General features: G+C 50.2%; 1 protein-coding gene across 1 annotated transcript in view; it reads left to right on the top strand.

Moving 5' to 3' along the window:
- SHB (SH2 domain containing adaptor protein B) overlaps positions 1-17500 on the top strand; it is a 153330-nt gene that overhangs the window by 92154 nt on the left and 43676 nt on the right. The window contains exon 3 of the mRNA NM_003028.3: positions 2237-2452. Within this exon, the coding sequence (NP_003019.2) occupies positions 2237-2452 (216 nt within the window). The remainder of the gene's footprint in view (positions 1-2236; positions 2453-17500) is intronic.

The raw sequence follows: 17500 nt of genomic DNA, 5'->3' as shown, positions 1-17500 counted from the left end.
GGCAGAAATGGCCCAAGTCATGAAGTCACATGACTAAATAAAGCTTGGGAAATACTAGCATAAAGTTAATTCATGTAAACACTAATGATCACAGGCACAGTATCCTTGGCTTCTGTTTCTTCGTGGCGTGTGTCCACATGAGCCGGCCTGAATCATAAAGCCCAGCCTGAAAGCAGCTCTCTTTCTCGGAAGGGCTGATGTCATTTGTGTGTGTTTTATCAGCTGCTCTTCAAGGAGCATAACTCCTGTGGCTTCTGCCATATCTTTATGCCATCAGAATTCTGATTTCGGGAAGACCTCAAGAGAGCATTGAAATAGCTCACTTACAGTCCTCACCCCTTTTGCATCAAGGCTCACCTCTGCTCCCTCACCTCCTTGGACCTGGTACTCCAGCCAACATGGACGGTGAATATACATAATGATGGAATATTAGCCTGAAAAAGGAAAGTCATACACAGGCTACAACATGGAAGAACCTTGAAAACATTATGAAACTGAATGATTCCACATTGTTCAGGATGTGCCTAGACCGATCAGATTCATAGAGACAGAAAGTAGAAGGGTAATTGTGGGGGCTGAGGAGGGATAATGGGGAGAGTTAGTGTTTAATGGGTACAGGGTTTCAGTTTGGGAAGATGAAACAGTTCTAGAGATGGATGGTGCCAAAGGTTCCCAATAGTGTGAATGTACCTAATGCCACTGAACTGTACGTTAATCATGGCTAAAATGGTCAATGTTGGCTGGGTGCGGTGGCTCACACCTGTAATCCCAGCACTTTGGGAGGCAGAGGCAGGGAGATCACATGAGGTCAGGAGTTCGAGGCCAGCCTTGCCAACATGGCAAAACCCCGTCTCCACTAAAAATACAAAAATTAGCCAGGTGTGGTGGTGCACATTTGTGCTCCTAGCTATTTGGGAGGCTGAGACACAAGAATCGTGTAAACCCGGGAGCCAGAGTTTGCAGTGAGCCGAGATTGTAGCACTGCACTCCAGCCTGGGTAACAGAGTAAGACTCCATCTCAAAAAATAAAATAAAATAAAAAAGTGCTCAATGTTATTATATGTATTTTACCACAATAAAAAATAAAGTAGGCAGCAAGCACGTTCTTTCCAGCCTCATCGCATTGGCTTGCCCTGGTCCTACCACCAGGAAGCCACCCCTCTCCTGCTTCCACTTGTCAGAGCTGACAGTTCAAATGCCATCTCCCTTCCCTCCTGCCCTGCCACTCCCAGGCCCTACACTGAGCCCCCTTTGCCGCCAAGCATGATGGTAATTTAGGCACATGTTGTGTCTGCTGGGAACAGTGAGGTTCCTGAAACCAACCTCCATGGTAAACCTTCCCCACATTCCCCGCTTGGGCCATGCACATAGTATCCATGATCAAACAGCAGGTAAAATTTCCCTGTTTGACTGGGAAGTGCCTGATTTTAGCATCCTAGCATCCATCCTTCCAGCCACTACTGGCCTCCCAGGACTGAGCAGCAGCCAAAATGAACACCTCCTGTCTGGGACCTCGTCTAGACAGGCAGTCATCCCTCAGCCCACACCAGTGCCAGGCCTTAGCATCTTCTCTAGAAGATCAAGAGCTTGCTTTCTTTATTCAGAAGTGAAGCTGGACACCCTCTCAAATCCCTAAATAAATTCAGTCTATTTAAAAGATGGTCTGGGGGAGGTAGAAATAAAGGGAAGGGGTCACTCAGGCTTTGCGGGGGAGAAAAGTGGCCTCTGGTCTCCTTGGGGAGGCTCTTGTTGGTTCTTTTAAATGAATGTGTGAGCTGGTGGGAACTGGGAACTGCATGGCCCAGTCTTTTCCTTGTACAGATGAGGACTGAAAGTCCAAAGAGGGCAAGGAACTGCCCTAGAGGGAAAGACCCCAGCCTGTTTATGAAGCAAGGGGTCAGAAGCTCTGCGTGTTCTGGGTGGGCATCAGGACACACCTGGAGCATCATGTTCACATCTGGGCTCTGCCTCTTAAGCCTGAGATTCATGAGTGGATGGAGGCAGGGCTGTCATTAGGCCTGCGAGCATGTGAGCCTTGTGAGCAAGCCTGGCCCAGGAAGAGCAGAGACGCGGCACTGGGGGTTGGTGGGGTGGGTAAAACCCAGACAGGGGTCTGTCTCTCTGTCGTTCTCACCTCCCCGCTGGCAGCTCTGAGTTTGTGGTGTTTCTGGGTGGGAATGCAGGTGAGGAAGTGCAGTATCCATTTCATCTCTGCTTCCTTCCTTTTTGCCTGCAGAATTTCAGAGGCAGGAAAGTGTCCGGTCCCAGCATAAAGGTATCCAGTTATATGACACCCCTTACGAACCTGAAGGCCAAAGTGTTGACTCAGACTCGGAGAGCACAGTCAGCCCCCGACTGCGGGAGAGCAAGCTGCCCCAGGATGACGACAGGCCCGCCGATGAGTACGACCAGCCTTGGGAGTGGAACCGGGTCACCATCCCAGCCCTGGCAGGTAAGGAGCCCTGACCCTGCTCAGGAGGCAGCTGCTGAGCTGCGCTCAGCACTCACCTTGGTCCCCACCTGCGCTCAGGACAAACTCCAGGGTTGTTTAATAATCCAGTTGGGTGGTCTTTTTTCTCAGTACCCTCACAGATGTAGGCTGCAGAGGAAAGGGAGAGGTGAGGGTAGGGAAACCAGGCCGAGGAGAAATTCTGGGTCTGGCTTCCAGGGTCTCAGTGTTCCAGCCTCCACACTTTAAAGAGAGGGCTCAGATGCTCTCATTGTCTGGTTCTGTCTTGGTCCTATTTATTGATAATACCCTAGCTCACTGAAGCCAAGAGTTCAGTTTTTGGTTTATTTATTTATTTATTTATTTTTGAGACAGAGTTTCGCTCTTGTTGCCCAGGCTGGAGTGCAGTGATGCGATCTCGGCTCACCGCAACCTCCATCTCCCAGGTTCAAGTGATTCTCCTGCCTCAGCCTCTCAAGCAGCTGGGATTACAGGTGCCTGCCACAATGCCCAGCTAATTTTTTGTATTTTTAGTAGAGACGGGGTTTCACTATGTTGGCCAGGCTGCTGTCAAACTCCTGACCTCAGGTGATCCGCCCACCTCGGCCTCCCAAAGTGCTGGGATTACAGGCGTGAGCCACCACACCCGGCCTGATTTCAGTTTTCAGAAGGAACTTTCTTAGAAGGTAAGAGGAACCCAGTGTGCACAGCAGCTCCTGTTGGCCCTCAGCGGGCCCATTGATCCCACCCAGTGCTGCGAGCTGAGCTAGCCCTGCAGGGCTCACAGGACCACTGTGTCTTCTATCCCAGTTTCAGCGTGCACACGCTCACAGAGCACAGGTGATGGACAGAGCTCAGCCCCTCCCAGATGACCCTCCCCTGGCCAAGAGCCCCTTGAGTGACTTGGGTATCTCCTTCCTACTCAAAGGCTGGTTTTTCTAGAATCTGGGTATCTGTCACAATTCTAGAACTCCTCTCCCACAGCCCTTTTGAAAAGTGATCTTGGGCATGTGCATCATAAGTCATAAATCTAAGCTAACACCTTTTTATTCTAATCCCACTCCTTAGAATCTGTGCCAAAGTTATGATAAAAAATTCAGAAGGCCGGGCGCGGTGGCTCACGCCTGTAGTCCTGGCACTTTGGGAGGCCGAGGCGGGTGGATCACCTGAGGTTGGGAGTTCGAGACCAGCCTGACCAACATGGAGAAACCCTATCTCTACTAAAAATACAAAATTAGCTGGGCGTGGTGGCACATGACTGTAATCTCAGCTACTCAGGAGGCCGAGGCAGGAGAATCGCTTGAACCTGGGAGGTGGAGGTTGCGGTGAGCCGAGATCGCACCATTGCACTCCAGCCTGGGCAACAAGAGCAAAAAATAAAAATAAAAAATAAAAAAATTCGGAAAAGGCACTGTTTATAATCATGGAAAATGGAGAGCAACCCGAATGTCCAGCAATGGGGACTGGATTTCTGTGCGTCTGTGTGGTGGAATATTGGAATGTTGTGTAGCCTCTAAAAGGTGATGTTCAGCAAGAGTTCATAATAACCTAGAGAAATGCTTATGTCTAATGTTAAGAGATGAAAAGCCAGATGCCAAACAATGTTTAGGTATCTCAGAGTTTAGGCATGTAAAAAGAGAGACAGTGAGTGACATTTAATTCCTACCACACTGACAATCATAAAGGGAAACTTTTTATCTTTAGTTTGTTTAAAATTTATTTTGCCTTAAATCTCCCCTTTTTTTGTATATAACTAGACCCTTTCTACCTTTCTAACCCCGAACAGTGAGGCCTCTACCCTGCCCTCATCCCAGGCCCCTTAATTGCTGTTCTAGCCATTCCAACACAGATTACTCACAGTTCTGTGAATATAGCATGCGCTGAGCAAATCCCATTTTTCTAGCTAAAATGCCCTTCCCTGCCTGTCTTATCTGGAACAATTCTATGCCTCCTTTGAGGCCCAGCTTAAACATTATCATCTCTCCAAGCCCTCCCTGGTACACAGCCATGCACTCCACAGGCTTCCTGCTGCCCCTATAGGTCTGTCGAGTTTCCTGCATACATCACTGGGGGAAGATTTCTCACACCACATCAGGGTTAGTTCTGTAGATGTTGGTCTTGCCTGCCAGGCTGTGAGGTCCTCAAGGACAACCTGTCCCATCACCTTTCTGGAGCCCCAGCCCCTGGCCGAGAGCCAAAGATAAGAGTCATCCTGTGGCTGTAGGTCCTTAGTTGCCCCAGGTCTCCCCTGTGCATTTTACAGCCTCCTCTGTTCCCTTGAACCAAAGGAACCCAAGGTCTGTCCCCTGGGCATGGCTGATCAGGGGCTGTGTTTCTCTGGGCATGGGAGGAACTGGGGCCATCCAAGAGCTTACTCTTTGCAAACACCAGTTTGATTAAAGGGCTAAAAAGGCTCATGTGACAACTTTCCCAGACACCGAGGACCCACATTATAATGCAGCACCACAGGCAGGTGTGGGGACTCACCCTCCCCTGGACTGACCCCCTGTGGGCCTCTCAGGGGCTGCCCTTGCCTTTGATGGTCTAGTCTAGTCTGGCATCTTGTTACTCAAAGTGCAGTCCCTGAACCAGCAGCATTGGCCTCACCCAGTGCTGGTTAGAAATGCAGGGTCTCAGGTCCCATCCCAGGCCTATGAGTCAGAATCTGTTTTAACAAGATCCCAGGTGATCTGTGAAAGTGAAAAGCAATTCCCCTATTGGACATCATCTTTGAAGAAAACTCTCAGGCCAGAACTTGCCCACTTCTGCCCAAAGGTGGTTTTAGAACTCCTGTACATTTAGTTGTTCACAAAGGATCATAAGGTCTCAGATGGAACTGTCTCAGAATGAGTTTCTGAGCCCACAAGCATCCGTTTTGGCCTGGGTTTTGTGTGGCAGAGTTGCCATCACAGGTGTCACGGTCAGTCTGAGTTATTGGGCTGTTGATAGAAGATAGACAGAGAATCACATCCACGTCTGTGTCTCATCCGGTCACTGGCCTCTGTAGGTCCTACTCCAGGGCGGGTGCTGGCTGTGCTTTTCCCAAGCTGCTTTTGGCTCAGTTCTGCTTCCTGGGGCATAGAAGGAGGAGGCCATCTCACTCAGGAGCTGGAGGGGTCCTATGGGCACCAGCCTTCTCTTCCCATGTCTGTGGACAGAGTCCATTAGGCGCAGCATTGGCAGGTGAGAAGCATCCTCACTGTTACTGTCGCTGGAGGGAAAGTGGAGAGGTGGGTGGGCCACCTCTCAAGTGGTGAGGATAAGTTGAAGCAGCTCGGTTAGATTGCTGATGTGTTGCCACAGCCCCATGTGTAAAACCAGAAGTGCAGCTTCCCGGGAAGGATGGCGAGGACCCCCACCTGAGTCAGTGTTGTGTGTGCATGAGAGTGTACATCCATCTGCATGTGTGTGGGTGTGTATGCAAGTGTATGCACTCACACTTGAGCGAGTCGTTGGTGTGGTCAGTGAGTAAGGCAGCTTGGCTGGGCCCCATCCTTAGCATAGTACCTGTCAGAAATGCCCTGTGCAGTTTTTTCTTGGCTTTTGGGAGCTCTCTGCACTGAGTCTTTGGAGCCTGAGGTGCAGGATCCATAGCTGGAGGAAGAGCTGTATGGGGTGGAGTTGGCTGGCCAAAATCATTACCCTCTCCTTTCACCCCTTATATTTGCTGATTGTGCAGATTTGGCCTGGATGGGGAAACTTGGGCGGGGAATGGGGTCAGTGCTTTCAAATTTCCAAAGGGTGGAGAGTGTGGGGGACTCCTAAGGGACAGACCTGGGCCTGCCAAAGGGGGAGTCACAGGGATGTAGGGCCCAGGTGAAGGGTAAGAATTTTGGTTAGAACTGAATGTGTGTAATGAGCTTCCCATCACTGGGGGTTTGCAAGCAGAAGCTTGAGCGAGGCAGGGCTCTGACAAAGGGCGTGTCCTGGGAGGTCAGTCTGCAACCAGCTCTGGGTATGCATCCAGGCTTCATTCCATCAGAGCCTCAGCGTGCTGGTCAGAGACAGGGAGAGGGGAAGATGGCTGAATTAGCTCCATCCATCTATGAAGCAAAAGTGCCTTCCAGCTTTCAAAGCACTGTCCCGAATTGCGTTCAAGAAAAGCACCTCTCAGGCACTGCCTCAGCATTCTCCACCGGGGCGCCCTTCTTGGGCAGTGTTTCTGGAAGTCAGCGCCTTCCTTCCCATCTCATCAGGCTGGGGCTGCCACCGCGGAAGGCTCAGTTATCACTTCCCAGTTGTCACAAAAACAGCTCTTAGAGTGTGTGAGGTGGCCCCAACTTCTTAGGAATGAAAGTTTCCCCTTCTCTGAGAATGGCTGACATGGAATTTAATTAAGGATTCAGAGAGTTGTTGGTGAGAAATACTTGGAGCCGTCCAAACAGCAAACCCTGGGTGTTCGTTGCCTGCTCTTCTCCAGGAAGCTGACTGTGGCCTCACCAGACCCCCACTCCCACTTGTCGGATCCCAATCCCCAGGACAATGCCCAGTCAGGTTCCACCACGGGCTGCTGGCTGCAGGGAGTGGACTGCAGCTCTGCCTCCACAGGGAAGTGATGTGGCTTCCATCAAGCTGTCAGCCCCCTTCCCACCCGGCAGAGACACCAGCCTTCCAGAGCAGGCTAGACTCTGTTCCTGGCCCACTTTGAATCACCCCAGGAGTCTTTACAGCAACCAGCAAGGCCAGCAGTTGGGTCTAGAAATGGCCTTCTTGCTCTGTCCCCAACCCACCCCCGCCAGGTGCAGCTTGGGCCCACACGAGGCCTATGTGGCACCCCCTGCCCAATGTTGGGAAGGGGACAAGGAGCCTTGGATGATGTCATGGTGTCTGGGGGTGGTGCAGGTTGGTGTGGCAGGTCTACCTGGTTGCCAGGCTGTGTGGCACAGATTGCAAGATGGACAAATGGAACCTGAGCAGAAAGTGGCCACGTAGGGAGGGGCCCACAGGCAGGGACCAAGGAGCCGGGGTGGATAGCCTGTAGAAGCAGACCTCGGTGGAGGTGGCAAAGACACCAAATCGGTGTCTTCACACCTCTGAAGGACCAGTGTGAGGACTGGGCATGAACATGTCCTGGGAGTCTCAGTTTCTCCACCTGGGAAGTAAGACCAGTAGTTCCCACTTCAGAAGGGTCTTGGTGAGATTTGATGGGTATCACATCAGGAAAGTACTGGCATTGTTGCTAGCATTTACTGAGCACTTTCTGTGTGCATTCTCTCATTCAATCCTCATAATCACCCTCTGGGAGGTTAGTTTCCTCCTTTTACAGATAAGGAAGCTAAGGTCCCATGAGAAGAAATAACTTGGCTGGGGGCCCAGCCCATGGCTGGTCAGCAGCAGAGCCGGACTTTGAACCTGTCAGCTCCAACTCCAGAGCCCCTGCCCTAACCCAGTCAAATGTCTGGCCTCTCTGGTGCTATCCAAGATGCTGCAGGAAATATGATTGGAGCTCTCATCCCCCCACAGCCCTCAAGAGGTATCGCATGCCCTTCATCTCACTTGCACTAATTTCTTCATCTCACTTGCACTAATTTCTGCGACATCTACACCAGGATATGTAACTGGGTGGTGGCTTCCCACCTGAAATGGATCCAGTCAGGGTTTCTGTGGGGGACTGGGTTCTGGAGGTTCGTGCTTTCATTGGAGGGGGACCAGCGCCATCCCATGGGTTGGTCTTCTCCTACCACCACTCAGCACAGAGAGGGGCCCGTATACCATAGAGTCCCACATACCATAGAGTCCCACTCCCTGTCCTTCTGGGGAAACTAAGGCTCAGAGTGGAGAAGGGAACAGCTGGAGACCTCATGGCAGAGCCAGTCAGGCCATACATAGAGGAATGACCAGCATTTCCTTTTAACCCAGTGAGTAAACGGCTATGTCTTTAATAATTTGCACTTGTATCTGAGAAGTAAGTAACTGCAGCTCTTGAGCTTGATAGAGGAGCCAGATGACAGGAGGGTGTGTGAAGGGCACCCCCCAGACCTTCTTGAGAAACTAAGTCATCTCATTTCGATTCACCATCTGAAGCTTTGTCTCCGTGAAAGTTACTCTTCAGGCAGTGTCCTTGGCTCAGCCAGGTCTGCCTCATAGCAAAGATAAAAGACACATGACTCAAATACTGCTCAGCATACTTATTTTGGGTACTTATCTGTCTTCCCCACTAGCTCCTTGGCAGATTTCTCTGCCCTAGAAGTTTAGGACAGTGTCTTGCATGTTGGGACCCATGGGGCAATGGGATGAGTCAGACAGTCCCAAGTTCACATGCCGGCTCCACCCTTCACCACTTCGGGACCTGAGACAGACTGTTCAGTCTCCCTGAGCCTTAGTTTACTTATCTGTAAAATGGGGATGGTCACAACTTCTCACACTGGATCTCTGTGTTGATTAAATAAAAACAAAAGATCTGAATGAAAAGACATGGTAAGCCCTAAAGGATCATTTGGTGTTTTGGTTTTCAGAATTGGTTTTGGTGTTCAGAGGGGGCTTGCTGTATTACATAAAATTCAATTTAACATAAAAACCATGTTGCATAAAGAAGTACTTAGTGGCCACAGAGGACCTGTTTCCAAAGCTCATTCCCAGTTATGCCTGGCAATGGGAAGCACGGATGGTGTGGAAAGCACCACTTCTTCAGGAAACCCCATATCCCAATTCCAGCAACAGTTCTAACGAGTCCCCTGGTTCTTCCATTCTTTACTCAGTCCCTCCCGAGGATTGGGCCACTGGTCCCCTGGGTGGGAGAGGGTCCCCAGGGCCTTCCTCCGATCCGCGCCTTCCCTATTCTAGGTCTGACATGTCTGTGGATTTCTTTTTTGCCTGGAGCAGTAAGTCTTAAACTTGAAGGCATCAGAATCACCTGGAGGAAGTGTTATACAGATTGCTGGGGTTCCACCCCCAGGGTTCCTGATTCGGTAGATCCGGGGTGAGGCATGGGAGTTTGCATTTCCAACAGGTTCCCAGGTGATGCTGATGCTGCCATCTGGCGACCCCACTTTGAGAACATAGAGGGTACAGAGTACATGCTTTGTATTAGGTGTGGGGTTGGGATAGAGTTAGGGAGGGGAAGTCACCTCCTCCAGGAAGCTTTCCCTGACACAACCGGTTCCTTCCCCTCTGTGCTTCTACTACACCCTGTACTGGAGTACATTGGTTTATTCGGAAATAGCTAGATACGCACTAGACACTGTCAGCGTGTGGGGTGCTTATGCTATGGTATCACCCCTTAGCCAGCCTCCCTCTTGAGTTTTGACACCTTCAAAGCCTCATCAAATGAGGCTAAAAGGGAAAGTAAGGCCCCAGGTATGTCTATTTCCTAAACAACTATGAATCATCTCAGAGCCAGCTCAACTAGCTAATTTAAAATAATCCCATTAAGGTAAGGAAGGATGGGGAGGAACCAGGGACAGGAAATTAACATTTATTGAGCAATAATTATAAACCTGGCATAGGTTAACCCTACAGAGCCTTGCAAGGTAGGGTTCACTTCATTGTCGTCACTCAGATGACAGTAGTGAAGCTCAGAGAGGGTGAGCAGCTTGCCCACAGTCACACAGCTGTGAACTTGGGCCAGTCTGACTGCACAGCACTTGTTCTCTCCACTGCTGCCTTGATATCCTGTGTGTGGCTGGGGTCAGGCTGGAATTCCCTTGCACACCGGTACAAGGCAGAAGCAGTTGCACCCATACCATGTTGCCCTCGTGACTTGTCACCGTCCCCCTCAAACACAGTCGCTCTGAAGCTGGTTTAACACCACCATTGTGTGTGTAGGGCACTGCTCCACACTTGCTATTCCCACCAAGCTATGTGACTCATCTTCACGTGCTCAGAATAAACAGGGCCCCGGCATCTGCAGAGGGTCCCTTGGAGAACCTTAAACCCGGCCACCACCACCACCTGTCCTAGCCAGGAGAATGCTGTCTCTTCCAAACTGGCTCCCCTTAGGCTCCCATGATGCTTCCTGTCCCCTGTATAGCTTCCCAGAATGCCTTGAGCCTGTGAGGAAATTAACAATTGTGTTGGTACCAAATGCTTTTTGCTATGTAATGAGTAACAGTTGTAATTAATGTTTAACACCTGTGAACAGCAGGTCTGCCCAGGAAAGGGGGGTTTCAGTGAGAGAACGGGGATCACTTGTTTCCTTTGGCTAATGTATTACTGAGGGACAGGTTTTTCCAGTTGGTTTTTCTATTTGACGTATGAATAAATTCATTTAGTAATCTTAAAAAAAGGAGAGGAAAAAAACACCAATGTTTAATAGCTTTGTTTCATCTGCTAATTACATTGATAGAAATATTCCTCCAAGTGCCTTTGTCTCCTCAGTGGAAAAAAAACAAAGATTTGATAGAATACTTTTGCTCTTCTGTTTGGCAGCTCAGAGATCTTCATGTGGAGATTTTTAAGTTCCCTGAGGTCAGAGACCCTGCCTGTCTTGTTCACACCTGTGATCTGTGCCTGGCACACAGTGAGCCCTCAGATATTTGAGTAAATCAGGCCAGACGCAGTGGCTTACGCCTGTAATCCCAGCACTTTGGGAGGCTGTGGCGGGTGGATCACCTGAGGTCAGGAGCTCGAGACCAGCCTGGCCAATATGGTGAAACCCTGTCTCCACTTGAATCCAGGTCTCTACTTGAGTCCAGGTCTCCTGAATCCTGGAGGCCCCTAACAAGTTCAGCATAAACCCTGTGTGAGTGCAATACAGTCTCAAAAACAACCACAGTAACCACAGTGATACATCTATGAGCACTCACTGTGCCCCCAACTCTCAGTGCATAGTACCGCCCCCACTGTACAGATGAGGAAACAGAGACAACTTGGCCCAGGTCATCCCGCCAGCAAGTGACAGCACAGGACTTTAAATCCAGATACCCCGGCCCCAAAATACAAAATTAGCTGGGCATGGTGACAGGCACCTATAATCCCAGCTACTCAGGTGGCTGAGGCAGGAGAATCACTTGAACCCCGGAGGTGGAGGTTGTAGTCAGCCGAAATCGTGCCACTCACTCCAGCCTGGGCAACAGAGTGAGACTCCGTCTCGAGAAAAAAAAAAAAAAAGATATTTGAGTAAATCGGGTCTCAGGAAAACCAACCCTGTGTTCTCTTAGGAGCAGTAGAATACCAGTAAATCTCATGGCCTGCCCACACACAGTCGGTGTGTTTTCATGTCTTTCTTGCATGCTGTATACCTGTCTCCTCACTAGGTGAGGCAGTAGGAGGGCATTTCTGAGTAGCCATTGACTGCTGTGGCTGCCACCTCTGGTCTCAACTTCCAGGGAGAAGTGGACAGCATGTCCCTGCCTGTCTGAGGATTGACTATGAATCCAGATGCCACATTGTGGGCCTGGAGACTGGTGTGTTGGTTGGGTGCAGGCAGCCCTGGCAAGCCATATTTGTGGCCAGTACCTGGCTTGTCCCCCCGACCTCCACTCCCCATCTCTCCTGGCCTCCCTCACAGCCATCCACAATGGGCAGCAGAGAAACATACACAGTGGGGCTGGGGCTTTGGGTCTTATGGACAGGGAGACTCATTTCCACAAATGCCCAGCCTGCTCCTTGCAGGTCTTTGGGCTTGTGGATGGGGAAAAAGTCACTTTCCCAGGCTCTAGGATTCTAAATAAGTGTCTGTGGGTGTCTGCAGGTGAAAGTGTCGGGAGACATACTGTATCAGACGTGTGTAGGTCCCAGGTATGTTTTACAGATGGGCCTGGCCCGGAACTCAGGAAGGAGCTCAGGTGCTGGGGCCAGGGGTATCTGGATTTAAAGTCCTGTGCTGTCACTTGTTGGCGGGATGACCTGGGCCAAGTTGTCTCTGTTTCTTCATCTGTACAGTGGGGGCGGTACTATGCACTGAGAGTTGGGGGCACAGTGAGTGCTCATAGATGTATCACTGTGGTTACTATGGTTGTTTTTGAGACTGTATTGCACTCACACAGGGTTTATGCTGAACTTGTTAGGGGCCTCCAGGACTCAGGAGACCTGGACTCAAGTCCAAGTTCACGTCTAACTGTTGACTCTGGGTGAGTCAGTCCTTTTTCCAGCCCTCCATTTCCCATCTGCATAATGAGTTATGACAATAAATATGGCTTGCTTTGGCAGCCGTAGAGGCCTCTGCGTTCGGGTTATTTCATCATCTTCATCGGGCTTTATCTTTAGATTTCCTGTAGTCAAGCATCAGATCTTAGGGTGGGGTCTTTGCTCCCAGTAATAGCATTCATTTTTCCTCTGGGGATGTCACAAATAAGAGAAGAAAGGCATGCCCCTTCTGCCAGGCCCGCCGTCCCCATCCCAGGTTTGGACATGTGTGTACGGCGTTCCTGGAACCCAGGCAGCGTCCTGGCACCTGCTTCACAGCCTTCCCGCTTGCCTGCTTTGTGGTGAGTCGCTGGCCGCCTCCCCTCACAATGAGGACCTCTGTTCTCAGGCACCTCCCATCATGAGTGGCAGCACAATGCCCTGAGGCCTGTGTGTGTCTTCCAGGCGAACACAGAGGCCTCTTGTTGGTGATCCTGGAAATACAAATCAAACATTTGCTAAGCCACTTGTCCTACAGGTACCTGAAAGGAACCTACACTCACTGGGCAGGTGGGGTAGGTGGGTGAGCAAAACTCACTCTTGAACTAGAGGGAAGAAGGGGCCTCACCTCTCTGGGCCTCGGTTGTGTCATCTATAAAATGGTAATTCTCATACTTGTTTGGGAATTCTAATACTTGTTTTGCTGTGTGTTGGTGAGGGTCAGATGAGATGATACAGTACGTTGTTTGGAAAGCTGAAACAGCAGAGGCCCATTGTCATGTGAACAGGGTTTCAGTCATCTACAGATGTTAGTGCATTGTTGTGAAAGTTGATGGCATTTTCATAGACTCCGGGGGTCATGTAGTCCACCCTACCTCCCAAACCAATGCATAATCTCCCCTCCTTGCCCCTTCCTGGGGTCGCACAACTACCTGGGCAGCAGTGCCTTCTGGGCTCTCCACCTCAGCTCTCCCCACTCTCACCCACCTTTCCCCCTCACCAACACCCCAGAGTCCCAGCCTAGCTGTTGGTGCTGTGCAGGAACCCCTGCCAGGGACTGTGCAAGGCCTTGGGCACCTTGACTCTGCCTCTGTACATTCGTGAACCAACACCAGGGCTGCAACAGCCTTCAAGCCCCTCCTGTCAGCCACATATGGTTTACAAATGTGGCCCATGTTCATTCCAGCTCATGTGCAGAGGGGCTAAGAAGCCTGTGGCGGTTGAGAGCTCCTTGCAAGCAGTCTACACACGGTGCCTTGTTTTTCATCATTCCAACCTTTATTGCCTCTGTTTAAAGGAAACTCCATCTTATACTGGAGAACTGAGAGGGTCATAGACTTCAGGCCAGAAAGAAGCAGCCAGACAGTCAGAGCTTGGAGAACCATGCCAGTCTCCTCTGGGTCCTGTTGCTCCGTTCCAGTTCTCTTTGAATGACCCCCTATCCCCGGGGGCCACTGCCCGCACCCTTGGTCAATGGTGAGGACAAGAGGATGTGCGGCAGACTGTCAGCTCTTCTCTCACTGCACCTCCGCCGGGGAAGGCACTCCTGGGTTGGGGAGGCTGCCCAGGGCTGCAGTCCCAAAGCAGAGGGCTCAAGGGCTAGCGCTGGGACCCATTGCCTGTCATAGCAACCTGTTCCTATTGCCCTGGGCAACTTACCTAACCATACCGGGCGTCACTTTTAAAAACGAGGGCAGTAATAGCACTGACCTCATAGGTTTGCCACAACAACTAGAGGAGAACGTGGACTTTAAGTCCCCCATGGTGCCTGCCCATGAGCAGGAATCACTAAATAAAGAGTAAGCTAGGCCAGGCATAGTGGCTCCTTCCTATAATCCCAGCGTTTGGGGGAGACTGAGGTAGGAGGATCACTTGAGGCTAGGAGTTCAAGACCAGCCTGGGTAAGATAGCGAGAGGCCACCTCTACAAACTTAAAAAAAAAAAACTTAGCCCAGCATGGTAGCATGCACCTGTAGTCCCTACTGCTTGGGAGGCTGAGGTAGGAGGATGGCTTGAGCCCAGGAGTTCAAGGTGACATTGAGCTATGATCGTGCTACTGCACTCCAGCCTGAGCGACAGAATGAGACCCTGTCTCTTAAAAAAAAAAAAAGAAAGATGAAGCCATTTTTCAAAACTGTTCCCAAAATCACTTGAGTGAGTCCAGCTCCTGAGTTTCCTTTGTTGACTGATGAATGGAAGATTTACAGTCCTGCTGAGCCAGGTGCAGGTTCATTCCTTCAACTGATGTTGAGCATCCACTGTACATCAGACACTGTTTTAGGTATCGGGAATTTAGCCTTGAACAAAACAGAATGAAATGCCCTATCTTCTTGGAGCTTCTCACTCAGGAATTTCAGCAGGAGTCAGAAAAAGGGGTGGTTTCTGATACAGGCATTGTATCAGAGCGTACATGTGACCATGGGTCAGGGTCTCCCGCTTACAGGGGGCCTGCCTGGACCTTGGTACATCATCTGTTACCTTCACGGTACAGGTATTGTCAGCCCTGGTTTGCAGATGAGGCAGCTAAGGCTCAAAGAAGTTTAAGAAACATGCCCCAAGTCACTCAGTAATGACAGAGACAGGATTCAAACCCAGGTCCTCCTGACTCCTAAACTGTGAGTCGAGTCACTGCAGCTCCTCCATTCCCTGGGTGGGTTTCAGCCACGGGCCATTCATCGGAGCTAGCTGCAGGTCGGCCATGGGGAGACTCCGAGGAGACTGAGGCACATGGCCCCATCTCTGCAAAGTGTCCAATTCTGAGAAGACACCTACATGCCTCAGTGTTGCAGAGGCCAGTGCCAGGACAGTGGTGCAGACTTTGGAGCTCAGAGGAGGAGAAAGGAATTCTACCTGGGGGTCTAGAGCAAAACCTACCCCAGGAGATAACGTTGGAGCTGAGCTCTGAAGAATAGCTGGGGTTTTTGCAGAGAAATAGTGAAGTAAAGGGATTCTAGAGGGTAGACTTAGCCAAACAAAGCCCTAAAGACAAAAAGGCAGATGATAGATCTGGGGACTGGCTGTCCTTTGTGATTGGAACCTAAGGGTGGGTGTGGAACCCACAGGGGTTTTGTAGGGGAAGTTGCATCATTACATCAAATTCAGAGGAACTTGAGCGCCAGAATGAATTTGTCCTTTGTCTTGGGGCACTGGGGAGCAGGGAGGGTTTGCAAACCCAGGAGAGCTATGCTTTAGAGGTCCATCGGCTTTTTGGAGTTTACTCTCTGGCCAGCTCTGAACAGTGGACAGGACAGTGGAAAGAGATCCACCCTGAAGGAACACATTTATCTCATCCAAGCACCTTCTCCACATGAAACTTCTGTGAGTTAGGGGCAGACAAGAGACTGGAGAGGGCAAAGAAAAATAAATCCCAGGCGCAGCACCCACAGCACCCAGGCTGACTGAGAAGAGTGGTGTGGATGCCCCCTGAGCTACAGGAGATGTACTGAGGGCTGGGAGCCACCAAGAGGGAGATGATAATTCTCTGCAGGTGGCATCAGGGTAAGCTTTGTGGAGGAGGTGGCGTTTGTGCCAGACCTTTCCTAGACATCATTCAGATGGAGCAGAAGGGCAGTAATTCCAGGCCTAGAAGTAGGAAGTGCACAGCAGGGAGGCCAGATGAATGAGGCCCAGCTCCTGCCAGACCAGCAGCCCTCAGGTATTCTTGTGGGGAATGAAGACCCAAGGGTGGGGTGAGCCTGACCTTGCAGGCCTGCAGTCCTGGGCTTGACCCTCACCCTGCTATTTGGCTTTGAGACCCTGGAGGAGTTCCTCCTACTACTCCTCTGGACCGCCGTTCCTCACCCATTACCCACGTGGCAGGGCCAGTAGGAGGGATAGAGCTAAGCTAGGTGTCTTGGATGCTGTCTTCTGTTGTTGGCAGTGACCACATTTTAGGACTGATTGGTGTAAAATCTGTCATACAAGCAGAAAGGGGACCAATCCAGATGGGAGGGCCAGGAAAGCTTCCTAGAAGCAAGGCACTTGAGCTGGGTCTCAAGGAATGAGTCCTGCCACCATGGCAGAACTTTTGGAAAAACATTGACCAGCCTCTCTCTTCCATCAACCACCAGGGTCTGGTCCCCATCATTGGAACCAAAGTCAGAAGGGCTCCCAGAGCCTCAACCTGCACAGCTCTGAGTCTTACTTTCCTCCTTCAGATTCCAACTTCCATTTTTAATTGCCCATAGGTGAAATTAATTAGGTTCTGTCATTCTAATGACTCACGGGGGTAGCATATTTTTTCTCTAAATGCAGATCTTCTTTTGAAGGACTGTGTCTTTATCTTTTGCAGAAAAATCACTAAATTAAAAGAATTGCCATGTTAAATTGCAGATTAAGGAGAAACGTAATTAGAAGGAATGAGAGCAGTTGTGTTTGGTGCTTTTGTTCTTAACATTTTTTTTCTTAGGCTGCCGAATCACTGCACTTGGAGTTTGTATATTTGTATTTTAGGTGAAATGATTTGCCTAATTAAGCCTGTCACTCATCACCACCTGTTCTCTCTAAGATATATGGCTATATTATTAAGCTTGCCAGCAAATGTGTAAATTATTTCAGTGGGGAATTACATTGTTGACTAGGACGTTACTAGTTTTTATCCAATTTATCTGGTATGAAACCGATTTTTTTTTCCCAATAAAGCTAAACAGCAGTTCATTAAGTTTCTTCATTTAATCACTTATTGAGCACCTGTTATGTTGCCGGTAATGGGCTAGGTATGGGGGAAGGGGCACATGATACAGCCCCTACCCTCAGGGGGCTCACCGGGAGCCAGGGTAGGACATGCAGTTAGGGTGCTAAGATCAAGGTGAGTCTTGGGAGAGGTGAGGTCCAGGAAGGCTTCCTGAAATAGGTGACCTCTGGAGGGTAAGTGGTATTAGTGAGGTGAAGAGATTGGTGGACCTGAGGCTGGACAAGCAGCCGGGTCCTAGAGAGCCTTTTGGGTTGTGCCGAAAAGCTTGGGCTCCCTCCACAATCATGTTCTGTGCTCCATGCCTCTCTGCTCACCTTCTGTGTCGGGATGTCGATTGTAGAGATTTATATTGG

This window comes from Homo sapiens, chromosome 9, assembly GCF_000001405.40.
Source record: "Homo sapiens chromosome 9, GRCh38.p14 Primary Assembly".
In the NCBI taxonomy this organism is placed as follows: domain Eukaryota; kingdom Metazoa; phylum Chordata; class Mammalia; order Primates; family Hominidae; genus Homo; species Homo sapiens.
The sequence above is the reverse complement of the archived record's forward strand: the minus strand, read 5'-3'. Positions and strand labels throughout refer to the sequence as shown.